The sequence below is a fragment of the Homo sapiens genome, chromosome 16 (assembly GCF_000001405.40).
Source record: "Homo sapiens chromosome 16, GRCh38.p14 Primary Assembly".
Lineage (NCBI taxonomy): Eukaryota > Metazoa > Chordata > Mammalia > Primates > Hominidae > Homo > Homo sapiens.
Genome location: NC_000016.10, coordinates 85,246,553 through 85,271,434, shown reverse-complemented (window position 1 = coordinate 85,271,434; position 24,882 = coordinate 85,246,553). Strand labels below are relative to the sequence as shown.

The 24,882-nt window shown below is 58.2% G+C and overlaps 1 protein-coding gene across 4 annotated transcripts in view, besides 5 other annotated features; it reads right to left on the bottom strand.

Annotated features, from left to right (window-relative positions):
* The window catches only part of GSE1 (Gse1 coiled-coil protein), a 506,689-nt gene that overhangs the window by 404,766 nt on the left and 77,041 nt on the right, over nucleotides 1-24,882 (bottom strand). The gene's annotated exons all lie outside the window — the stretch shown is intronic.
* Nucleotides 789-1,491: an enhancer, noted in NCBI's record as "H3K4me1 hESC enhancer chr16:85303550-85304252 (GRCh37/hg19 assembly coordinates)". NCBI's record gives its function as "activates a minimal SCP1, AML or CMV promoter by ChIP-STARR-seq in primed H9 embryonic stem cells {active_cell/tissue: H9 hESC(primed)}" and the evidence as "EXISTENCE:reporter gene assay evidence [ECO:0000049][PMID:30033119]".
* Nucleotides 4,335-4,882: an enhancer, noted in NCBI's record as "H3K4me1 hESC enhancer chr16:85300159-85300706 (GRCh37/hg19 assembly coordinates)". NCBI's record gives its function as "activates a minimal SCP1, AML or CMV promoter by ChIP-STARR-seq in naive H9 embryonic stem cells {active_cell/tissue: H9 hESC(naive)}" and the evidence as "EXISTENCE:reporter gene assay evidence [ECO:0000049][PMID:30033119]".
* Nucleotides 10,876-11,580: an enhancer, noted in NCBI's record as "H3K4me1 hESC enhancer chr16:85293461-85294165 (GRCh37/hg19 assembly coordinates)". NCBI's record gives its function as "activates a minimal SCP1, AML or CMV promoter by ChIP-STARR-seq in naive H9 embryonic stem cells {active_cell/tissue: H9 hESC(naive)}" and the evidence as "EXISTENCE:reporter gene assay evidence [ECO:0000049][PMID:30033119]".
* Nucleotides 11,581-12,284: an enhancer, noted in NCBI's record as "H3K4me1 hESC enhancer chr16:85292757-85293460 (GRCh37/hg19 assembly coordinates)". NCBI's record gives its function as "activates a minimal SCP1, AML or CMV promoter by ChIP-STARR-seq in naive and primed H9 embryonic stem cells {active_cell/tissue: H9 hESC(naive and primed)}" and the evidence as "EXISTENCE:reporter gene assay evidence [ECO:0000049][PMID:30033119]".
* Nucleotides 12,285-12,989: an enhancer, noted in NCBI's record as "H3K4me1 hESC enhancer chr16:85292052-85292756 (GRCh37/hg19 assembly coordinates)". NCBI's record gives its function as "activates a minimal SCP1, AML or CMV promoter by ChIP-STARR-seq in primed H9 embryonic stem cells {active_cell/tissue: H9 hESC(primed)}" and the evidence as "EXISTENCE:reporter gene assay evidence [ECO:0000049][PMID:30033119]".

Genomic DNA, 24,882 nt, shown 5'->3' with positions numbered 1-24,882 from the left:
TCTTCCTGTACCAGATTCTGAATATATATCTGCATCCCACAGAAACCCCAAGGAGCTGACTGAGAGGAAGATGAGCCATTCATGTGAGCAGAGATGTCAAACAGGCAGGAGCGCGGGGAAGAGGGGCAGGGGAGGAAGAGGCTGGGAGAGAGGGTGGGCTTCAGCCAGTCACCCTGGTGGGCAACTGGAACTCGATCCTGCTTGGGGGCTCTGGGACCCACCGTGAGAGACATGCTTCCGTGGTCCACCTACAGGAGGGATCTGGGATATTTATACACCAATTCCCACAGACACTAGTAAAGGGCTCCTCCCCGGGGCATTCACCTCCCGGTACTTCTGGCCTCCCTGAGGCCAGGTGGGCTGCTGGGCCACAGAAAGCACCTAGAAAAAGAGATCCTTTTGGGGACAGGGCCTGATGGCATTCGCTCTGCCTCAGTGAGACGGGGGAGATTAGCACCAGTAAAGAAAGGAAGAAATGCTGGTTCAGCTGGCACAGAGGAGGCAGGTATGTGAAGCCAGGTCTGTGTGCCTGCACCGGGTGCCTTCTTTCCATGTCCGCCTGCCTCTGTCTAGCCTGGGATGGATGGGCTGCCGGAGGAGCCAGACAGGCACATTTAGAAACTGCTCTTTCCCGAGTGGATGGCGAGACCTCATAAGGAACCTCTCCCACCCCGGAAACACCCAGGGCGACATTCTCTCCAGCTGGCGGGAGCTGGGCTTCTGAGGATTATTAAATGGATTTTTCCTCCCTCTCGTGTGTGTTTCCTTCAAGGCCGCACGCAGGACAGAGCATTAACAAAGCAGCCAGCCCAGGGCAACATCAATCCAACAAATACAACAGCCCGAGAGCTTTGATTTAATAAAATCGGCCCCCACTGGGCTGCTTTAATTGTTTCCAGATTCTGAAAACACTGGAAAAGAGGATGCAAATGGAAAAATCTACCTCTGGCTACCGAAGCATCCCAGGCTTGCTGTGCCGAATGTCTACAGGGGCTGTGTCCTCGGAGAGTCACCCAAGCAGACGGAGTGGAGCCTTGGATGTCGCTGGGACAAATGTCCAGGAGAAGAAGGACACCAAGAAGGAGACTCTCTCTATCCATCAGACAGGGAGAGCAGCAGGTCACTGGGATCATCACCTGGGCCTCAACAGAGAGGCATGTGCTGGGAGCCTGGGTGGTTCTGTTTTGTCCCCAGAGACCGCAGAGTTGTGCTGTGGCAGGTGGGAGCCCCAGGATCTGCTCAGGAAGCCGATGGCCCGGGGAGGTTACCACTGAGCGTCTGTCCAGTCCCTTCTGGCCAGTGTGACCCCAGAGGAGTGAAGCCACGCTAGGCTCCACAGCAGAAGGTAACATAGCCGCATGGAAGGAGGAGCATGGGGTGGAGTCCAGCAGACTTGGATTTGAATCCTAGCTACCAACAGTGTGGCCTCAGGCACATCACTCACCTTCTCTCAGCCTCAGTCTTCAAACCTGCAACACGGGCTCACTATGCAAACCACAAAAGCCCTCCAAAGCGTCCACAGAACGCAGCTACATGTCGGCGCTGCCTCGGGTGCTGCTTGGTCATCAACATGGCGTGTGTGTAGGGCACAGGCATCCCACCTACGGTGCCACCTCTCTCGACAGGGCCTGGTGCTGCCCCAGGGGAGGAGCCCAGAGACCCCAGCAGACCTGCTGCAGAGTGCCAGGTGCAAGGGCGTCTGGTGCAGCTCCTCTTTGGGGACACTGGGAGCCCCTTCCCCATGGCTTGGGCTTCAAGGTGGGCACTGAAGGCTGGACAGAGGGGCTTCGGGGGCCAGGGGAGGGGCCGGGCATGCAGAGCACGGGAGGCAGCACCGGGGAGTCAGGAGTCTCCTGTTCTGTCCTGGGTCCCCAGCCCCACAGGCCATTTGCACTGTGTTTGTAAGAATTTCCCTAACAGGAAAGAGTGTTTTGTTACCTCCGTAGAACACAAGGGTGAGAACACTCACACACACACACACACACACTCACACACCCACACACTCATGCTAACAGGCGTATTCCCACCCTGCGCTGACGCAGATGACAGCCTGCCACGGTCTGTATGTTACAAGTCAATTACGCTCGCCTCCCAGCCTGCCTCTGATGCTGCTGGGGAGGTCATCTCACCATCTTGGGACACAGGGGAAGGACGTGGGATGCTCCCCCAGGAAGGGCCTGGCAGCCCTCAGGAGGCCACCTCCCGTCAATCAAAGGAGTAAATTGGAGGTGGGGGTGGCTCATTTATTTTCATCTCTCCATATTAGATGGCATGGTAATAAAAGAAAAAAACAGTATGGTTCTTGAGTGGCCTCGGGCAAGTTTCTGAATGGCATTGATGCTCGGTTTGTCCATCTGTAAAATGCAGGGCATGCCCACCCCAGGGTCACTGTCCAGGAAGCCCTTGACTCAGAAGACATCACAGATCCATCCTTTCCTCCCTCCTGGCATTTTCTGCAGCCTCCCCCTCCCCTGTCATTAAAATCAGAACCTGTTAGAAGGCAGGGGCAAGCCTAGCCCCCTGGTCCCCCCTCAAGTAGAAATGGGTCCCATCCTTCAGGGCCTGTGTCTGAGCAGCTTTGAGTGTGGAGAGAGCACGGGGGTCCCAAAGTCCACCTGGAAGGTGGTGGCTCACAGGTTCTTACCCAGGAGGCTGGGCACAGAGGGAACCAATGCCCCCCGAGGAAGGCAGAGGGTGTCTGGACAGCTGCACCCCTCCTGCTGAGGCTGTGCTGGCAGGTGAATTGTCCAGGCCCTTGGGGGGCTCCAGGGGCAGCTACACGCCGGGATCATGGCAGCAGCAGTGCCCCAGGCCAGCCTCACAGGCCTCACACCTGTCCTTATGGCCAGACAGGGTTTAATCAGACACCTGAACGAGGATGAAGGTGCCTTTTGGTCTACATGGCTCGCAGCCCAAAGCCAGCACCCCTGACTGGCAACCCCCCTCCCCACTCATAGAAGAGTGATAGCAAACTAGGACCCACACCTGGGGCAGGGGCCAGACGGGGAAGGGGAGTGACCTGAGTGCACGATGCAGAGGGGATCACTGGGGGGCTCGGCGCGGTCACTCAGTGGGGACCTGGCAGTGTTTGTACTGTGACCATTATCATTATCAGGAGGAGGACTGCGGGGGGAGTACAGCTGTGCGATGCTGTGTGTGAAATTATGCTTCTGCACCAGCGGCCTATAGAACCCTTGTGCCACACCTTGTGCCAGTACCAGGGCCTCAGAGAGTAGACGAGCTGTGGCCCCTTCCCTGGGCCCCAAGCAATCCCCCCAAGGCAGCAGGATAGACAGCACTGTGTCACGAAATACAGAGGCATCACAGCAGACCGCTCAGCAGTGGGCATAGTGAACCCCACCTCCTTACCAACCGTGACAAAGCCTGGCAGCCTCTGGGCAGTGCCAGGCAGTGACTTGAGCTCTTGACAAGTATCACTAAGTTAATCCTGGCCACAACCCTCTGAAGTGGGCACTGCTATTAGCCCCATCTCCCAGATGAAGAAACTGAGGTTCAGAGAGGCCACTTAGCTGGGGCCGACGGTTAGTCTGTGGCAGAGCTGGGGTTTGAATCTGGCATCTGGTTCCATGGCTCATGTTTAACCACGACACTATGCTGCCTCCTATACAGTAAGAGCATATCGATACAGTGCCCTGGTTGTTTGAGGAGGGTTTGCCTGCAGTGGGTTTTGAAGGATGAATAGGAGTTGTCTGAGCAAAGGAAACAACCCAGGGGTCAGGGAAAGCTTGGATGTGTTCAAGAGAATGAAGAAAAGTGAGTATAGCTGGGAACAAGGGCAGGTCAATCCCTGGCACATAGCAGGTGCTCAATAAAATACTTGTTGCAGCAGGTGCTGGGGGAGAGCAGCTAGATGCAAGCTCGCAGGGGGTGGCTAAGGAGCGTGACGTGACTGTCCTTTAACCCACCTGTACATGCGTGCGCACATAGGCACCTCCCCATTCCCCCACCCCCCACGGTCACTGCCCTCCTTTCCTTCCTGCCAGCCCCTCCATGCCAGGTATCCTTGGGAAGTCACCGAGGGGGTGATGGAGAAAAGAGGAGACTCAGGAAGGCAGGGACAAGGCAGGGGTGGAAAAGCTGGTCCACTTTGCTTCTGGGTTTTTATGGTTTCGGAAAATATGCCAGGGGCAGGGGAGGTTAGCTATCCACTGCCACCCCCACTTCCTGGGCACCCCGATGGGGAGGGGGCCGAGGATGTGGCTCGGCCTCAGGCGAGGGGCGGGAGTCTCAGGGGAGGCCAGCCCAGGCAGCCACCGCCGCTGCTCCGATAGCCTTCAGCCCTGACCTCATTTCCCACCAAGGCTCGTGCAATTTCTTCCAATTTTCCACATAATTAGCTGAGCGGGAGACGCATCCCCTGCTCTAGAGGCCCAGCCTCCCGGGCAGGAAGGAGCCAGCCGTCTCGGAGCCCAAGGGCCTGTGGCTGAGAGCAGAGCCATCCCCCTGCAGGCTCCCTCCTGTCCCCGCGCTGAGCAGGCACCAGATGTCCAGAAATGGGGGACCAAGGGGGAGAGGGCAGGAGCACAGGACGTGGAGGTCGGTTTCCACTCCCCACCAGCTGGTTGTGTGGCTCCAGTCCTCAGCCTCTCAGGCCTCAACACACAGGTCACATAAGATCAGTACCTGCAAGAGTCCACTAGAGCCCTGTCTCTGCCCACCCCTCCCAGCCCCAGCATACCCCCAGCAAACAGCCACCCCTCCTTCATGCTGCCCTCACCTTTTCTGGCAGGCCCCAAACCACCCCTTCCCTCCCTGGAGAGGTAGGGGGTAAAAGGACTAGGAAGGGGCATCTAGGAGGCCCACAGCTCAGCTCTGCACCAGATCCATCCCTTGTCTGCTGGGTGACAGGCAGTGTTGGAGACCCATCAGCCTCAGCCTTGCCCTCTGTGAAGTGGGCACAACAGAAGCTACCTCAAAGTTGGGAAGAAACAGGTCCTTGTGCCGGAGACCCTCGGTGCCAGCCCTGCTCCCTGCCTGGCAGACGGTGCCATCCCTGTCCAGTTAGAGGGAGGCCTCGGGATGCTTCTGGAATGCTTGCCATTGGCAATCTCCAATTTGGCTCAACAGAAGCAGGGAGGGAATTCACTCCTCGGGCCTCAGTTTCTCTAACTGAGCAATCAAGCTCGCTCATTGCTAGAGTTTTCCTAGAGAGAGAGGACGCATGCCCAGCAGTCTCGCCCGGAGCTGGAAGGGGGCACTACGGCCCCCAAGGTGCCCAGAAACAGGGACAAGTTTGCCCTTCCTGGGGAGGGAGGCCCCTGTCAGATGGGTGGGGTGGGGCGCTCCCCCACCTCCCTGGGGAGCCTCGGGCTCCTTGGAACGGCCTTCCCATGACAGCATGAGCGATTCCCTTCCTCACTCCAGAGCCCAGCGCCGCGGCCTGAAATCCATCATTCCACTTTGTCTGTCCAAGGACCCGCAGGCCACCCAGCCACTCTTACAGGGACTACAGCAAACATTCTCGGGCAGAACCAGGCACAGCGGACCCAGAAAATGTCAAGGCCAGAGACTGCAGAGACCCAGGCTCACCCAGCCCTGTGACCGTGGACCTGGGACCTCACCTGCCCTGGCCCTGGGCTGCTCATCAGGAAAATTCAATCATCTACGTCACACAAGCCTGGACCCCGGCGATGCATGGGATGTTCGGGCACCCCAGGTCCTGAGCACAGCAGAGAGCCCCCCAATGGCCTGATCAAAACATTCCTCCCTCATGAAAACCAGAACCTGCCCCAAACACATGGTCTTTCAGTGCCTGCTCCCAGCAATAGCAGGGTAGGCATCAGCCTCTGGAGTCAGCTGATTTGGAGGCAATCAGGGAAGGCTTCCTGAAGGAGGTTATGCCCGAGATGAGGAGTTTGACCAGGGGACAAAGGAGGGGTCTGCCCAGTTATGAGATATAGTCCGGACATATTCTAGAAAAGGCCAGGAATTGGCCTGAACTGGGGCAACGATGTCAGCAGTGAGGTCCACAGGGTGCATTAGCGCGGGTCTGGGGCGGTCGAGACTCAACAGGGGGAGGACAGCAACTCTGAGCAATCAGCCTTCCTTAGCAGCAGTCATGTCTGCCTCCACCCAGCGGAGGTGGCCGCCAACTCCTTTCTGTTCCGTTTATGAAACTGGCTTGCAGGCAGGCAGTCAGGATTGGTGACAAGCTCTCCCTTTGCAAACAGGCTGGTCTCAGCGTCCTGTCCACACTCCAGGCCTTTACCCGCAGGCCCTCATTCTAATTCTGCTACTTGTTTGCCCTTAAGAATAACAAAATTATATTCCCCCTTGCAACTCTCCCAACTCACCAATGCAGGGAAGCGGCCCCCGCCATTGCAGTGATAAGAGTGCGCGTTTACTGCGTACTTACAACATGCCAGACGCTGCTCCGGGTGTCACAGTGGTGCCTGCTCGTTTACTCTTCACCGCAGCTCTCTCAGGCTGTCGTGATGTGACTGTCCCATTTCTCAGAGGAGAAAACTGAGGCACGGAGAGGCCAAGTCACCTGCCTGGCCTCACACAGCTTGGAAGTAGGGGAACCCCTGTAAGGACCCAGGGCGTCTGATCTCCAAATGCGAGGACTCAGCCCAACCCCCTCACCCCTCCCGGTCCTGGTTACCCACACTCTACACACACCTGACACCAGGGGTCTCCACAGGGGACGGGCCAATTTCACATCGTTTTCCTGACTCTACACACACTGGGACACCAGCAGCTGGGAAGTCGAGCAGGGAGAGAGGGCTTGAGCTGCGACAAGCACCAGGGACTGCCCACCCGACGCCGTCCACAGGGGGATCTCATGCGAGCTCAGAGTCCGAGCAGCCACCCCCGGCCCTGGCCCCTTCCTCTCGTCCCTGGGGGTCCTCTGCTGTTGATTCTTAGACCTCAGTTCCAGGTCTTCAGCGAGTGGCAGGTGCAGAGGAGAGTCGGCCGAGGAGGGAGGCGGTGATGCTGGGGGAATCAATGTGAAATCAAGACTGGGCCCGGAAACCTCAGGGGCTCCCCGGAGTTGAGGCGTGGAACCCCCACAACAGCCTGCCCAGCGTGAGGCCAGGGCTCCCCTCTACCTCACCCGGTCCCCCAAGCCCATCTGAGACGGGGTCCTCCGCAGGGTCTCCCTCCTTGTGCTATTAAGCTAGGGATGTGGGACAGATACCACATTCCACACCAGGGACGTGATATTCCACCCCACGGGTCAAGGGCCCCTCTACCCCAACATGAAACCTCAGGCCCTCTGAGAGGGGCCCACTCCAAGCTCCAGCTGCCCCCCACCCTCCCACAACAGGTTGTGCCCCATAATCCCTAACTGCTAACCTCCTTGCAAGGCGCCCTACCACTTGGAATACCATTCCCCGCCTTCTGTATCTGGTAGTGCTAAGGGTCTGTGGAGCCCTCACTGGGGGAGAGAGGTCCCTGCCTCCTAGAAGCCCTCCCCGGCCCCAGGCTGGAGGGCCCGCTGTTGACTAAGCTCTGTCTGTCCACCCTGCCGACCAGCAGCTCTGTGAGGCCAGGACGGCAGAGGAGACCTGGAATGACGAATACAAAATAGAAAAAGTGGCCAGGCGTGGCAGCTTATGCCTGGAATCCCAGCACTTTGGGAGGCCGAGGAAGGCAGATGACCTGAGCTCAGGAGTTCCAGACCAGCCTGGTCAACATGGTGAAACCCTGTCTCTACTAGAAATACAAAAATTAGCTGGGTGTGGTGTCCCACACCTGTAATCCCAGCTACTTGGGAGGCTGAGGCGGGAGAATCGCTTCAACCCTGGAGGCAGAGGTTGCAGTGAGCCAAAATCACTCCATTGCACTCCAGCCTGGGCGACAAACTGAGACTCCATTTCAAAAAAAAAAAAGGAAAGAAAAAGTGGCCATTTCATCTGGTGTGAGCTGACCCTAGGTGCCCCCGAGGTAGAAGAAATTCAAGCTTTAATGCAAGAGCCAAGTCCATTTGGGCCTAGACCAGGGATTCTCAAACTGCAGCCACCGGGCCAGCAGCGCAAATACCAACTGGAAACTTGTTAGAGACGCAGATTCTGAGTGAGAAACTCCCAGTACTGCCAGCAGCCTGATTCCCCGGCTCTCTGGGGGCCTCTGATGCACACTCCAGCGTCACAATCCCTGCCCTAAAAATTGTAAATTAATAGGCTGTGTATTTCTAACAAGCCAAAAAAAAAAGGTTTGATGATCTTTGCTAAACAAGCATGATGCTAACATCATGATGATGATGATCTCAGGGAGGCCTATTCTGACCACACTCTTTGAAGCTACAACCCTCTTCCCTCCCGCACTCTCCAAGCGTGAGCTTCCTTCTTCTGGAAGCCTCTAATCACTACGCGTCGCTAATTAGCTGTCAGGAGTGCTGTAAGCGAGCCCGGCCCCCGCCCTCCCGCGATCTGTGGGATCCGTGTGTTATTTATCTATTCCTGTACTGTCTCCTTCCCTGCTAGAAGCTCAGCTCCCTAAGGGCAGGGATCTCTGTCCACTTTGTCCACTGCTCTATCCTCTGAGCCTAGAACGGGGCCTGGCATACAGTCGGTAGTCAATTAACACTGAATTGCAGAATGGAGGAACCCAGAGGCTCGCCGAGTTCTTTTCAGCTCCCATTGCAACACATTTTCCAACTGGTGCCCGCGGCAAGCTTGTGAGAGACGGAGCAAGCATCACTCCCATACCCAATTTCGGATGAGGAAACTGGGCTGTGGGGAGGATCAGAACTTGTGCAAGGTCACACATGGAGTCTCGGACTCCCACTCTGGTCTGATTGCTAAATCCAGAACCCTGTGATCTGTTGGCAAATTCAGGCTCTAGGGATCAGGCGTTCTGGCCTTGCGTCCTTCTCCTGCTGACAAGCCCACAGTCTAATGGCATGGCCAAAATGGAAACCGTTACCCTAGAAATCACCGATGTGGGGCTGGAGGAGGGAGGCCAAGGCATGCTTCCTCTGAAGTCCCGGCATGCGGCTTCAGGGCCGTGACGATGATGCCTGCCATCTGAGAGGCCCCCCGGTGCAAAGACACACAGCTAATTAGCTGTCAAAAGCGATGCAAACTCTAGCTGGCCCCCTCCCCGACAATCTCTCCCAGAATCGCCCTCTGCCACCGCGTGTCACCACATGATAAAAGGAAATATGTTCAAAGCAGAACCACTAACAAGAGACGGGGAGGCTCTGAGAGGCAGAAGGAAGCAGATTGCCTCTGACACTCTCTGAGGAAAGGGGGATAAATTAAAACCATTAAATAAATAATTTGTCATCGTCAGTTTTCAGAAAGAAGTCATTCTTGAAGAGCAGGCTTCTTGTTTGGGGCATTCCAAGCACCCGCCGGGGAGATGCCAGTGAAGTGGTTAAGAGTCTGGGCTCTGGATTCAAAACAGGCTCTGTCCTTTGCAACCTGTGTGACCTGGGGCAAGTCACCTCACCTGCTCGGCCTCAGTCTGCCCATCTGTAAAGTGGGGGAGACAAACATCCCGACATAAGGCATGGGGGAGAGCCTATGAGAAAATACACATATCTCAGGATACACACGAGGGTTTAGCCCCCCAGGGACAGCCAAAGCGGGCACCAAATCACAGGTGCTGATACGCCCCACTGCTGCCCAGCTGCAGAAACACAGGCACATTCTCAACCCCCTCAGCTTCCTTGTCTGTAGACTGGGGACGATGGCGGCTCTGGCATACAAAGTGCTTAGCGTGCACCTGAACAGCCATCCACCGTGGGATGATCTGTCCGAAAGCATCTGCTGGGCCCTGTGGACACTGCCGAAAGTCAGTGGCCTCAAGATGGTCGGGAACCCATCAATGCCCAGCCCTCTCCTGCTGGCCGCCAAGTCCCCTCTACCACACGGGGCAGCCCTCCACTCTGAGCCTGTCCTGGCCTCTCCCACGAGGCCCCCGTGGATGTGCCTCCTGTCAGTCAGAACCAGCTGGACTGCCTCGGAGATGTGCCTACCCACTCTGCGCCCTCCTCCTCTGCGGGATAAGGGGAAACATGCCAAGTGCCTACCTGGCTGAGCCCTTGCCAGAAGTCAGGCACAGCTCAAAACTGCGTGAAATTCACTGAGTCAGCAACTGCTCACTGTACAGATGGAACACTGAGGCACCGAGGCAGAGTCATACACTGAGTGAGTGGGGGCACCAGGCCTCCTGCCCCCAAGGGTAGGTATGACAGGCAAGCACACGACACTGGGTATGGTTAGGGCCAAAGCGAAGGTGTAGTCTTGAGCATGTGTTTGGAAAGCTCTGGCAAGAATGCGAGCTGGGATGCGGCAGCCCAGGGCAGAAGAAATGGCCCAGACCCTGGGCAGCCTTGGCCCTCCAGGCGGGGGTGGTAAGGGCTGATCACTTAGAGCACTGGGTGAGGCCTGGTGACCAGAGCACCCGAGAGAGGCCAGGACCCATCAGGGCCAAGCCATGGTGGAACTGAGCACCCCCAGGCTGAATGCCCCCTCCCAAGATGCCAGGCCGGGCCTTTCCAAACACATTCGCTTTCTCCCTGCAGCTAGGCCAGGGTAGGTCAACAGATGTCCTTAGCCCCCATCTGGATGCTGGCACAGAGGCCACCCATGGACTCCCTGAGCCCTCAGTGCCACGCCCCATGCGCTCATCACTGCAGATGTCATGCAGGGGTGGGGGCTCCCAGTACAGTGCAGGGGCAACAGGGAAGCAGAGAGTAGATGGTGGGCACATGGGCAGGGGAACAGCAGCTCCCTGGAGTAGGGAGCACGGGGGGCCAGAAAGGGCCCTGTGGCGTAGCCCCCATTGCCCTGGGAACAGCTCCTACCAGAGTAGTCGCTGAGTTGAAATGTTTGACCTGGCTGGGTGCGGTGGCTCATGCCTATAATCCCAGCACTTTGGGAGGCCGAGGCAGGTGGATCACCTGAGGTCAGCAGTTCGAGACTAGCCTGGCCAACATAGTGAAGCCCCGTCTCTATTAAAAATACAAAAATTAGCCAGGTGTGGTTGCGGGCACCTGTAATCCCAGCGACTTGGGACGCTGAAGCAGGAGAATCACTTGAACCCAGGAGGTAGAATTGCAGTGAGCCAAGATAGCACCACAGCACTCCAGCCTGGGCAACAGAACGAGACTCCATCTCAAAAAAAAAAAAAAAAAAAAAAGAAAAGAAAAAGAAAAAGGAAAAATAAAAAAGAAATGTTTCACCTGACAAGAGTCAAGGTCACTGAAATTAAAGCCGTGGTGTGACCCAAGACCAGAGGCAACTAGACTGTCAGGTGTCCAGGTACCATGGGAGGGCAGTGGGCTGCCGTGAGCCCCAGTCTGGAAGCGCCACCAAAGATGACCAGCACTGCTGCGGGGGGGCTGCCCATGCCCCGCAGGGCCCCCTATGTCCTGTGGGGCTCACACGGGGACACCAGCCCCCTCCTCCACTGCCTCATCTCCGTCCCTTTCTGGTAAGTGCTGGCCAGATGGAGCCCTGAGCCTTGCGGTAGGCCTCCTCCTCCAGGAAGCTGTGTCGGGCCCCGCCTCTGTGTGCTTGAGTGGTCACCATCCAGCCCTTTCTCCCTGCAGCTGGGCTGGGGTAGGTCAACAGATGTCCTCAGCCCCCATCTGGATGCTGGCACGGAGGCCACCCATGGACTCCCTGAGCCCTCAGTGCCATGCCCCATGCGCCCATCACTGCAGGATGTCGTGCAGGGGTGGGGGGTCCCAGTACAGTGCAGGAGCAACAGGGAAGCAGAGAGCAGGTGGTGGGCACACGGGCAGGGGCACAGCCCTGCCCTCGGGACTGTTACTGCTCTCAATTCCCCTCTCCTCTGCCACCTGTGTGGCCCCCATCTGGCACTGATGCTTCCACAGGGGACAAAACCCCAGCAGCAGGACAAGCAGCTCCTCCCACTAGCCCTGGGCAGCTCTGTGCAGCTGCCCACCCTCTCTGTGCCCTGGCTGCCCTGGGGCAAAACAAGCCGGCCGTGAGGGCCTCCAGCCCACACCCCGCAGGACAGCTGTGACTTCGGTCTTTATTCTGAGATCCCCTGTCTGGCTGTTTGTGGATCCTTGGCCTCTTTACACAAAAAACAAGTCTTCAGGTGCCTGGAGCCCATGGCAGGAGGGGTGGAGCACGGAGGGAAGGGGCGAGCACAGGGTGGGCCAGGGTGGAGCACAGGGTGGGCCAGGGTGGAGCACAGGGTGGGCCAGGGTGGAGCACAGGGCAGGACGGGGGCTGCACATAGTGGGGCCGTGCGGATGGGCAGCCGGGAGGCAACCGGGGTTCCTTGGAGACCAGGGGCACGAGCCCCCGCCCCTGGTGACATGATGTTACTTCTCCCTTCCACAGACGCGGTGGCCCCTGCAGAACCCTCCTCCTCCCTTGCACTGAGCCCCTATCCTGCCCGGGCAGAGGTCAAGGCCCCCTCCTCTCTCCAGGACCAAGAGGGGCCTCTGGGGAACTTCTCCCCAGCCTGGCAGCTCCTGGGGGCCTCCCAGAAGAAGCCTCCCAGAAGCTCAGCCCCCAGAGAAGAAGGGGGAGCAGTGGGCCCCTGACAGCTGAGCGATTGCCATAGCAACCACGCGGCAGGGCAGCTGGCGGGGGGAGGTTGGCAGAACAATGGGCAGAACAACGGGGAGAGGGCGAGGTCAGGCTGGGGCACGGGGACCACAAGGGGCAGAGGCTAAACCGCCACAGCTCCCTTCGCGGGCCTGACAAGCGCCAACATGACAAGCGTGTCCCTCCTGGAGGAGTGCATGGTGACCCCGCTGGGCGGTCACTGACCAGGCGGGAAGGACATCTGGGAACCCCTCCAGGCCCGACCGCTTTGACAACCCTCTCCCTCCTCCTCCCACAGGCGGAGAAGGGGCTCTCGCTGGGATTCCTGATGCCTTGGGGGGCAGAGGCGCCCTGGCACCCAGCTCCCCCTCCACCTGGAGGGCAGGCGGGAAGGGGTGGCAGGAGCAGTGGCCACGGGGCCGCAGGATGCAAGAGGGCTGAGCTTTGCTGGGTTTGCCTGCTGCTGTTTCTGCAGCTCGTGGTGGGGACCCGGTGAGAATGTGTTCAGTGGAAGAACGAAGGAATCAGTGGGCCTCGTCTCAACATCCTTTCACTGTGGCTCAGGAAGGGAGTCCCAGGGGTGCGGAGCCAGGACAGATGCTCGGCTGAGATCAAGCTCAGTCTGTGTGACTCCAGCCTCTTGTCAGCCCCTCAAGGGAACTGGGCTGCTCCCAGCGGTGCGATGGGCCAGTGGGCCATGTTTACAGTTTTGGGGGAGCTTCAGGGGACTCTCAGCCCAACTCTGTCCCTTCTGAAGATGCGTGAGGAGGCCCCTGCTGCCTGCTGGCCTTCTAGGTGCACACTCTACCCTGCCCCTCAATTGAGATCCTCACCCAACCCATCTGTAGAATGTTTTGCCCATGGGGGCACTGGGGATGGGGAAACTGAGGACCCCCAAAGTGAGTCAAGCTGCCCAAGATTACTCTGCAAAGTGAGGAACTAAGTCCAGGCCCTGAGCTCCCAATCACACCAGCCCTCCTAGGCCCCTGGAATCTCCAGGTGAGGGGCCTCAGTTTACGTGTATGTATAAACAGACATGGAGGAATGATGACAGAGCGTCCCAGATACTCAGGGAGATACTCAATCTTAGCTAGTCTCTTCTCTCCTTTTCTCTTTTTTGTTTTTGAGACAGGGTCTCACTCTATTGCCCAGGCAATGATGCCATCGCGGCTCACTACAGCCTCACTCAAAGGACTGGGCTCAAGTGATTCTCTCACCTCAGCCTCACCAGTAGCTGGGACCACAGGTGCGCACCACCACGTCCTGCCAATTTTTAAGTTTTTTGTAGAAACGGGGGTCTCACTATGTTGCCCAGGCTAGTTTTTTTCCTTTGCAATAAAGGCAGTTTATAAAATGCTTGACTAAATGTGATTTCATTTTTCATTATCTTTTAAGACTTCTGTAAATCAAGTTACAAGTATATAAGAAACATCCTTCCTCGCGCTATGTGCTCCGGCTTGAAGTTGGATAAAATATAAGGGAATGAGCTCCTGGGGAAATATGGTAGAAAATGCAGAACATTGCTGAGCGTGGTGGCTCATGCCTGTAATCCCAGCACTTTGGGAGGCCGAGGCAGGAGGATCACCTGAGGTTAAGAGTTCGAGACCAGCCTGGCTGACGTGGTTGAAACCCCATCTCTACTAAAAATACAAAAATTAGCCAGGCGTGGTGGCAGGGCTCCTGTAATGCCAGCTATTCGGGAGGATGAAGCAGGCGAATCGCTTGAACCCAGGAGGTGGAGGTTGCAGTGGGCCGAGATCGCGCCACTGCACTCCAGCCTGGGTGACCCTGTCTCAAAAAAAATGAAAATACAGAGCATTGTTCCAGTTGTTCTTCTCCAACAAATACAGCAAGTATAATCCACCCCTCATCTCTTCAACCTCCCTATGTCCCATGTCCTCCCCACCCAAAGACTCCCACCTTGGCTAATAACAAGAGCAGCACCATCCAATACAAAGTATCGTGACAGAAAGAACCTTCTAGATCTGTGTTGCTCAATGCAGTGGAGACCGGCCACATGTCGTGAGCACTTGAAATTCAGTGAGTGCAGCTGAGGAACTGAATTTTGCGTTGCGTTTCATTGAAATATAAGTGGCCACGTGTGGTGACAGTCCTGGGCCCCAAAGCTGGAGAGTAAAACGTTTATCATTTACCACAAGTGTGTCCTGAGGCCAGAGGGCAGAAGAGTGAGGGACGAGACCCCAGGGCTGACAACACCTCTGGGTGGCTCAGCACCCCGTGACGGGGACAGACATGGGGTCTGAGCTGGTGGGTGTGTTCAGGCAGGGATGGGGAGGAGCTGGTGGAATCCGGGGTCCCGGATGGAAATACAGCGTAAGCCAAGGCCGGGAGGCCGGGCCAGGTGCTGGATCAGGCCCAGTGGGAGCTTCGCCAAGGAACGTGCCTGGGCGGCCCTGACCCCGAGTGAGCACCTCAGCCACATCACACCTCAGCTACCCCATCTGCACCAAGGCAACGAGAACAGTCCCAAACCTAAGGCTACTCTAAGGCTGAATGAGCCAGTGCATGCAAAGCGTCTGCCTTATACAGGGTGCTCCTAAGTGCTGACTGTTGTCATTTTTATTAATGCAAAGCACTTAGACGTGTCTGCCTTATAGCGGGTGCTCCACAGGTGCTGGCTGTTGTCATTATTATTATTATATTATTATCATCACATGTTTGTTGGGTTGTTTTCCCCACTTGAAGCTCCCACCCTCCACCCCCCGGTGCTGTCCGAGTCTGCCTGCCGAGGGAAGAGCCTCCAACTCACCCTGTTGGCGTCCCCTCCCCACCGCATGATTTAACCAGAAAAACCGGCACTGTTTCAGCCCCACAACACTATGAGGAAATTAGTATTATTCTCCCATCTTACATATGGGGAAGCTGAGGCACACGGAGGTTAAGGGACTTGCCCGAGGTCACGCAGGATTGAGAAGTAGGCACTGGCCGGGTGTGGTGGCTCACGCCTGTATTCCCAGCACTTTGGGAGGCTGTGGTAGGAGGACTGCTTGAGCCCAGGAGTTTGAGACCAGCCTGGACAACACGGTGAGACCCCATCTCTACAAAAATTTAAAAATGAGCCAGGCATGGTCATGCACACTGGTAGTCCCAGCTGTTCAGGAGGCTGAAGTGGGAGGATGGCTTGAGCGCAGGAGGTGGAGGCTACAGTGAGCCGAGATCACGCCACTGCACTCCAAAAAAAAGAAAGAAAGAAAAGTAGGCACTGACTGGCCGGGTGCGGTGGCTCACGCCTGTAATCCCAGCACTTTGGGAGGCCAAGGCAGGCAGATCACGAGGTCAGGAGTTCGACACCAGCCTTGCCAACATGGTGAAACCCTCTAAAACTACAAAAATTAGCCGGGTGTGGTGGTGGGCGCCTGTAATCCCAGCTACTTGGGAGGCTGAGGCAGGAGAATCACTTGAACCCGGGAGGCAAAAGTTGCAGTGAACTGAGATCATGCCACTGCGCTCCGGCCTGGGCAACAGAGCAAGACTCCGTCTCAAAAAAAAAAAAAAAAAGTAGGCACTGACATCACCCCTACTTTACAGATGGGGAAACTGAGGCTGGGAGGGGTATCATCAGTGGTCCTGGACCACACAGCCAGAAGGCAGCGGGTCAGGCTGGGCCGGCAGCTGGGCTTTCAGGCCTCCCAAGCCCAGGCTCTGGCCTCTGGGCTCCCGGGTCTCCCAGGCAGCAGGAGTCGGGGGAGAAGCCTCTGGAAGGGCTGGGGAGCGGGTGGGGTGGTGTGGACAGCAGGCTGGGCTTCTGCCACTCGCTCCATCCTGCCTCTCACGCCCGCCCCTCGGGGAGCCGGAAGCTGGCAACAGCGACCGCCGCCGCCGCCTCCCTCTCTGGGCCCATCTGCTCCGGCACCGGGATCCGGTGGGTGGCGGGTCCCTGCAGAGACCGCCCGCGGCAGAGGTGGGTGCTGCCCCCAACCACCTCTTCTCCCCAGCCTGGGGATCACCGGGGGACACAGAACAGTGTTTATGAGCGCACTGTGGTGGGCAGAGCAGGCCGGATGCCCCTCCACCTCCAGCACTGGGACCTGGGCACACATCTCCAGCCTCGGCTGCTGCAGGTGTGAAACGGGCATAGCATGTCTTGGTTTAACAGTGGGCTCTAGGCCAGCTCCTGCCCCTGACTGGGACCCCTCTGCCTGCGTCCTTCCCTTCAGGTTTCCTGACCATAACGTCTGGGTTTCCAAGACCCTCCCATTTCAAATCAGTGCTGCCGCCCAGGAGCACGGTCATCCTGGTCACAGGTGTGTGGCCGGGCTTAGGATCAGAGCGAGCGAGGCGCGAGGATGTGTGGACAGGGAGTGAGATTTCCAAAAGACCTCCCCAGTGGGTGGCAAGGGCCCCCCAGAAGCTAAGAGCCCAGAGTCACCTGTCTCAATTGATGACGCTCATTGCCAGACCTCCTGGGGTCAGGGGACCTCTCCGAGTGGGGGGGTCATGCTAAAGGGTCACCTAATACCAGCATATGTGCTGAGTACCTGCTGTGTGCGAGGCGCTGTGGGAGAGGCTAGGGGACAACTTCTTCAGGGTCAACACATGTCCCAGTCCAGACAGCCAGGAGAACCAGGTCTGCAGGCACCTGGGCTGAGGGCAGGGGCAGGCAGGGCTCTGTGGGAGAAAAGCTGGGTCCCACCACCTGTTCCTGCTTCCCAGGAGTGGGCTCCAGTGCCGGCTCTGCCAACGGGCTGTGTGACCCCAGGCTAGTCACTTGACCTCTCTGTGCACCAGAGTACACCAGGGTAGAAACCATGCCCCCTTGGGGGCGATCCCGAGAGGTGAGATGAGCTGCTGCCTGGCACATGGTAAGTGCCCCATACGGGCTGGCAATCGGATGGTGCTGAGGCTATGCCCCACACGGCAGGGTCCCCATCCTTCTCCAGATGGGAATTCGGCCTCTATTTTTGCTCCAGCTCCATCCCACACCTTCCAGACACGATGCTCCAGACATCCAGACATGTTTGCCACCTCTGAGCCCACAGCACCCAGTCTGTGCCGCCTCCTGCCCTTTGCACACACAGTTCCCTCTGCCAGAGCAGCCTCCGAGCCCACAGCACCCAGCCTGTCCCACCTCCTGGCCTTTGCACACACAGTTCTCACTGCCAAGAGCAGCCTCCAAGCCCACAGCACCCAGCCTGTCCCACCTCCTGGCCTTTGCACGCACAGTTCCCTCCACCGGGAGCACTCTTGCCACCCTCCTTCTCCCCTGGCTAACTCTTCCTCCAGGTCTTCCAGGAAGGAGGCTGGGCGGGATGTCCTTCCTCTGGGTTCTCCCAGACTCCTGGAGCTCCGACCAGTGGCATCAATCACACTGTGCCATAGCCCACCCTGGCACAGTGAGCCCTGGGAGGGTGAGGCCTCCCAATCCCTCTGCAACACCCAGAAACCAGCCTACAGGAGGGACTCCAGAAAGAGGAGGCAGAGGAACAAAGGGGTCCCAGGTGGAGACAGCAGAGGTGGCTGCAGCAGCAGCTCTGTTCCCCCTGGAGACCCCACCCCATTTCCAGGGCCACACAGGCTGCAGCTCTGCAGGATCTGGCAGGGGACAGCGACACCTAGCGGGCAGCGGGCACAGTGCCCCACCACCCAGGAGGCCCAGCACAGCCCAGGCCCCAAGCAAGCGGGGTTGCAGACTCCAGGGCAGGACTGGGGCAGAGGGGCACCCAGCAAGCCAGGCGGGTGCTGTGAGTCGCCGGCGGCGAGGCAGGCCTTGGCGCCTTCTCTGCTCCTCCTGCCTCCTCCCGTGGGCAGCTCATTCCCGCGTGGCATATGCCCGCCATATGCTCTCCCCGTCACAGCATCTTCAGCGGGCCTGCAAGCAGCCTGCTGGTGGGGGGGGGGGGGTGGGGGGGGGGCGGGGGCGCCTATGAGCTGGAGCCGCCTGGCTGCTGCACCTTACAAGCTGTGGGGAGTGGCTAGGGGCTGCCGAGGGCAGGGAGCCCACCCAGCTTCCACTTCCCTTCCACCTCCCTGTGGGCATGTGTCAGCTCCACGAAGGCCCCTGCAAGGGAGCCGAGCCTGTGGTCATCCCACATTACAGGCAGCCAAACTGAGGCTCGGAGAAGCTGAGTGCCTTACTGGAGTATACAGAGCCTGCAAGGACAGGCCCGTCCTGTCACCGGCAGCCTCAGACTGCACCTGTAACTCGGGGCAGGTGAATGGGGTGACTCAACTGTGGCGTTCTCTGATGTTGGAGGCTCAAGGGTTCAAAGCTTTGCTGTGCCGTCCCCACACCGGCATGACCTCAGTTTCCTCCTCCCCTGAAGCCACAGCTGGGGCCTCTCCAGCCTCTTCCTGCTCTGACAAACCCCCGAAGGAGGATCTTCAGGGCACTTCTGGGCCTGACACCTGACCCTGACTTGAGCTTCTCAAACTGGGTTCCCCAGAGTGCTGGCGCCTGCAGATGGGCTTGGGTGTGCCCAAGGGGCTCAGGGGAAATTTGAGATGGGGACCGGGGGTTGTCCCCCTTAAACCAGAAAGTGTCTAGGGCTGATTTCCACAGTAATTTCATGCACGTACACATCCTAAGCAACAAGGGGAGGGAGGAAGATTCCAGAACTTTGTGCTATGGAGGAGGTAACACTGAGCTACAGTGACAGGTCCAGCCCCCTCCTGCCACCAGATTCCCTCAAGAGCCAGGCCGGGTGATCGCATGGAGATAGTGACAGGCTCAGCCCCCTCCTGCCGCCAGATTCCCTCGGGAGCCAGGCCGGGTGACCACATGGAGCAGATTCCCAGGCAGCGGATGTTTACTGAGCATCTACTCAGTACGAAGCTCCGTCATTTCCAAGCTTCGTTTAATCCCACAGTGCGGGAGTCAGCCCTGGGTCTCCGGAGTCAGACTCTGGGGTTCAACTGCTCTCTCTGCCATCTATTAGCGTGTGCCGATCAGGCAGTGACTCACCTCTCTATGCCTCCGTTTCCTCATCTCTAAAATGGAGCTGACAGCAGTTCCTACCTGTTCATGGCAGCCTGGCATGGTGGCCTCTGACAGCCAGGTAGTGGCTGGCTCTGAGCACACAGCAGGGACCTACTTGCCTGGAGGATGGGATAGGGGTTCCGCACACCCAGCGGTTGTGTGCAGCCCCCTAATGCAGACAGGAGCCGGGTGCCAGTCCACCAGGCAGCTGCTGCATTACTCAGGCCCCTTGATGCAGAATCACCTGGGAAAGAGGAAGAGCCGCTTGCGTTTAGAAAAGCGGGTCCTGTACCCCGCAGCAGAGGCCTGCGTGTGAAAGAGGGCACGTGCCCAGCAGGCAGGGTCTGACCGCCCAGCAAGGCCCGGGAGGCACCACCACAGGCAGGCAGGCCCCGGGCCCAGCCCCTGCCCAGGGTCACTCTGCTGCCCTTCTCCAGCCCTGTCTGGTTTCTGGGTCAGGCGGAGCAGGGTTCGAGCCCCGGCCTGGCCGCACCCCCGCTGGATGACCTCCGGCCTGTTTCCTGCTGAGCCCAGGGAAACAGAGAACAGGACTGTGCTGCAGCTCAGCCAGCTGGCGAGTGCCAGGCCATATGGCCGCCCACTCACCCGGCGCTTCCTGGGCACCTACTCTGTGTTATTTGTGCTGGGTGCTGGGACACGGTGGTGGAGAAAACAGACATGAGTCCTTCCCCATAGGGACAGGCTTTGTCACCTTGAGGGCATCCGTGGGAGGACAAAGCAGCCTGAGGGCAAGGCCTCTGAGAGCTGGAAGAAGCTGCTCTGCGGAGAGCACTCACACACGGAGGTGCCCAAGAGCCATAACCCCATACCAAGGCACATGTCTGAGGGGATGGAGACGCGCGTCCACAGGCATGCTCACAGCCGGGTGATTCATAACAGCCCAGAGTGGGAGCAGCCCAAACATCCATCCACGGATGAACAGATAACGAGACGTGGCACACCCACACAGTGGAATATTACTCAGCTATGAAAAGGAATGAAGCCTTGACTTGTGCTACATGGATGACTGCGGAAACCAGGCGCCGAGTGAAAGATGCCAGACACAGAAGTCCACATGCTGTGATTCCACACAGATGAAATGTCCAGAACAGGCCAATGCCTGGAGACAAGAAGTAGATGGGTGGTTGCCAGGGAGGGGGGCTGGGGGTGGGGAGTGACGGCTGAGGATGCAGGGCTTCTTTTGGGGGTGGTGGAAATAGTCTAGAATTAGATAGTGGTGATGGTTGCACAACTCTGTGAATATCCTCAAAACCACTAAACTCTACACTTTAAATCAGTGGCTTGCATGATATGTGAATTATATCTCAATACGGCTGTTATAAAAAAAACTGCACTTAAAATAGCACTTACAAAATGCCATTTTTCATACATTGGGGTATTTTTGAAATACAAAAATGAAAAGGCATGAACACATATTGTTTTGCTGATCAGCAGCATAATAAAGGTGCTTGGGGTCTCCATGGCAAGGGGCTTGCAGACAGAGCGGTAGGGGGTCGGGGGAGGCCTGGCCCTGGCGCCTCCGCCCCCAGCTGGGCTCACCAGCCATCCTGGGAACACCCAGCTGGGGCGGGGCCAGCCAAGCGCAGACGCCCCACAAGCTGCTCTGTTTGTAAACTGCCAGCCGGTCCTGCAGGGGCTGGGCGAGAGGGGGTGCACTGCTGGCGCAAACAGGGCGCCACGAGAACCTCTGCCGGGAACCCAGGACCCTTTGCCAGGCCTCCCTGGAAAAGTCCAAGCCCATTCTGAAAGAAAGGCCACTTGGCCTCCCTCCCTGGTGTGGGCAAGGGGAAGAGGGGTCTCTTCGAGGGACACAGCCAAGGGCTCGGCCTGGCCTCAAGTTGGTGGACGAAACTAGGAGAGAACCGAGCAGAGCTGCCGAGGCCGCCGCAGACCAACACCGCAGGAGCTGCAGCAGGAGCCAGGCGGATGCTGCTCCACAAACCTTGCCCTCACCCCAGAGGACCCCGCAACAGCTTGGGAGGCAGGAGCCGTTCTCATCCCTGCTACAGACAAGGAAACCGAGGCATGGAGAAGCGCCCAGCTGGCATCGCTCTCGGCCCTGCCGCATCACCAGCTTCTGCAGCTGTGACATTGCTGCCCTCATGGAGGACAACTGGAGCGATGGGCTGTGGAGGGCATCTCCCTGCCCACCTGCCAAACTGCAGGGCGGCCTGACCCTGTGCCACTTGGGCACGCAGCTGTGAGGGGCAGCCCCGACTCCAAGCCAGGCCCTCAGGGCTACCAGAACACCCCCTTCCCAAATGTCCTGCTGCGGGGACAGCTGGACAACGGGAGCCCCAGGACCAGGCCTGCCCCAGAGCAGCTGGACGCCTGCCCCCAGTGTCCTGGCGGGAACCCAGGACTCTGCCCTGCTGTGCTGTTGCTCCACGGAGTGACAATCCGTGAGAAGTCTTGGTGCTGGTGCTGGCGCTGGCAGCAGCCTTTGGAGAGAGGCGCGCCCCCGGAACCCAGAGCTCTGGCTGGCATCCCAGCACTGCCACTCAGGGTCCCAGTCTGAAACGGGCTGACGGCAGCCTCACCTCGGGGTTGCTGCCTGCACAGGCCCACAGAGTGCTGGCCCGACTGGGCCTCCGCAAGTGCCACAGTCCTCGCTGTGAGCATCCCTCCTGGGCCCCATGCCCCCTTCTGCGAGGGGTCCCCGCTATCCCCCATGGGACCTAGGGAAGGGGCCAAGTCAGAGACGGGCTCTGGGCCCACTAAGGCAGCTTCATTCCTGCTGGCTGGGTATACTGGGCTACTGGGCACCATGAAGTCTGCACAAATGCGGCCGCTGCTGCTTAAATAACTCTCATGCCTGGGAAAGGCAAGATGTCTTAGCTGGGCCTCAAGCTGACTGAGCAAAAGGGCTTTTGTGGACTTGGAACATGAAGTGTCTGGGGCAGGAGGCCTTCAGGCATGGCTTGATCCAGAGGCTGAAGACATCGCCTGGGAGCTGCCTCCTATCTGTGTCTGTGTCTCCCCCGCCCCAAGTTCCTCACTCTTGGGGGACTCTAGTCATATAACGCCCCGGAAGCTCCAGGACTCCACCTGCCAGTTGAGCACTAACTCCACGGGGGTGCCCAGTGCCCAGGGCCCATGCAGGCTGGTCCAATCAACCACTCTCAGCACTGACTCCACACCTCCCAGGACCTCAGCCTGGACCCTGGTATCTTCACCCAAAGGGAGGAAGCAGTTCCCATTAACTAAAGACCTTCTGAGCTGGTATCAATGGGGGGAGATGGCTCCAGCCAGCACCCCCCTCCCTGCTTGGTTCTAGCCAAGATAAGGTTCCCAAAGGACTAATACTGGTGTGTAAATATTAGATACTTCTGTCTCCTTCGAGACCAATTACACAGATCATGGCGGCTCCCCCAGGACTCTGCCTTCCACTTACTGTATCATCATTAACAGCCTATTAGGTAACAGCTGCTCAGAGAGAGAGAGAGAGAGAGGCAAAGAGGGAGGAAGAGGCAGAGAAAGGGAGGGAGAGAGAAAGACGGAGGGAAAAAGGAGGGAGCGTGAGAGAAAAAGGGAGAGAGAGATGCGGGAAGAGAAAAGAGACAGAGGAAACAGAAAGAAGAGGGAAAAAAGGGGAGAGATAGACAAAAGGAGAGAGAAAGACAGAGCTACTGAGGATGGCAGCACAGGACACAGAAGGACCCAGAATCCAAACCGGGCAGAGGCGGGAAGACAAACGGTCAGAGAAGGGGAAAGGTAAAGGGAGGCAGAGGGAGGCCGAGGCGGAGTAGGCAGCTGTGAAGACTCTCTGAGGGGTACAGGGATCTGGGGGTCCCAAGCCCACCTGCCCAGCGGGGTCCCCACAAGATGAGCAGCAGGGTCCTGCCCATCCTTCTCCATTTGTACCTGCAGCTCTACGCACCCCACCCACTCTCAGCCCCACAGGCAGGTGGACAGAGCTGGGGGCACCAGGCAGGCCTTAAGTAAGCTCTTTTAAAGCCAGGGTCACCCCTAGCTGTCCTGAGCCCAACAGCACTGGGCAATTTGTCCCCGAGGAATTCCTACAGCCAGAAGTGACAAGATGGAAGCCACCATCTGGCAGAGCCCAGGCCTCCTTGCAGAAAGGGCCTTCAGGTGCATGCTTGGATGCAGGGCCTGTGCCACTGTTCAGAACGGGGCTCAGGTGTCCCCACTGCACTCAAAGACCAGCCCCCTGGCATGTCCCCCATGTGCCCAGCCCCTCCCTCCCCGCGTTCCCTCCCTGAGTGCTCACAGCAGCCCCAGGGGCAGCAATGAAGTGAAAGATGAGAGGCAGGGGCTGTGAATGACCTGCCCAGGGCCAGCTGGCCGGGGAGCCCCAACGCTGCTGCTGCTAAACCCCAGGACAGGCAGGTCCTTGCACCCAGGGTGGGAGAAGTGGCAGTGGTGGCAGTGGCTTGAGCCAGGCTTAGGAGAGAGAAGACCCTGTATGGTCAGCCAGGTCCAGGCCTCCTCTGAGGAGCATGACGTGCGGGTCCGGCCCTCATCCCGTCCTCCTCTCTGGCTCAGGCCCGGTCCCTGCATGCAGCCACTGCCTTCTGGAGCCTGTACAGTCCTCCAAGCCACCTTCCTCTGCTCAGGGACCCCACTGAGCTCTGAGGATCTCCCAGTGCTGCGGTGGGTTTCCCATCCATTGTCCATCCAATGTCCAATGGACAATTATGTGTCCAAACAACACACAATTGTGGAGCACTCCCTACCCACTAGGTCTTTTCTAGGTGCTGGGGACAGAGCATGGACAGGGAGACACACACCCTCCCATTCAGAGCATCCAGCCCGTGGCGAAATCAAGACCAGGACACTTGTGACCAGAGAAACCACAGATGAGAGCCTGGGTGGAAACAGAAGAAAGAGAGAGGTGTACCAGAGGCGGTCAAGGAAAGCTTCCGGGACAGCAAAGAGCAGCAGCAGCAGCCCTGGGGGGTGGGGCAGGTGACGAGATGGGTCAGAGAAGAAGGCGGTGCCCCCCTCTAGGGACCCCCACCCCCGAGCCACTTAAAATTGTATTCTAAGAGCACTGGGAAGCGCCTTGGCAACATTAGCAGGGGGTAACCCAACCTAGCCCCTCTACCAAGCTCCCCTGGGCTATGGTGTGGGGGACAAACCAGCCAGGACTCCGTGACAAAGGGGCTGATTTCCTGAGCACCCCCTTCCTCTGGTGCTCAGTAGGGGCCACAGACATCCAGGGGGGAGGCTCCCCCAGAGGGTGCCCATTTCATTGCTTCCAGGCACAGTGCCTTTGGCTGCCCCCCAGGCCCTCTCTAGTCCACTAGGGTTCTGGGGCCTCCGAGGGTGGGAGTGGGGTGGGCCTGGTGCCCAGAACCCCTGCTGAGATTTCAGGCTCCCAGCCCTGCAAAGCGCCTCATTTCTCCTCCTCCAGGGCCGGGGATAATTAGACGACTGGGGACATAAATCACGGCTGCT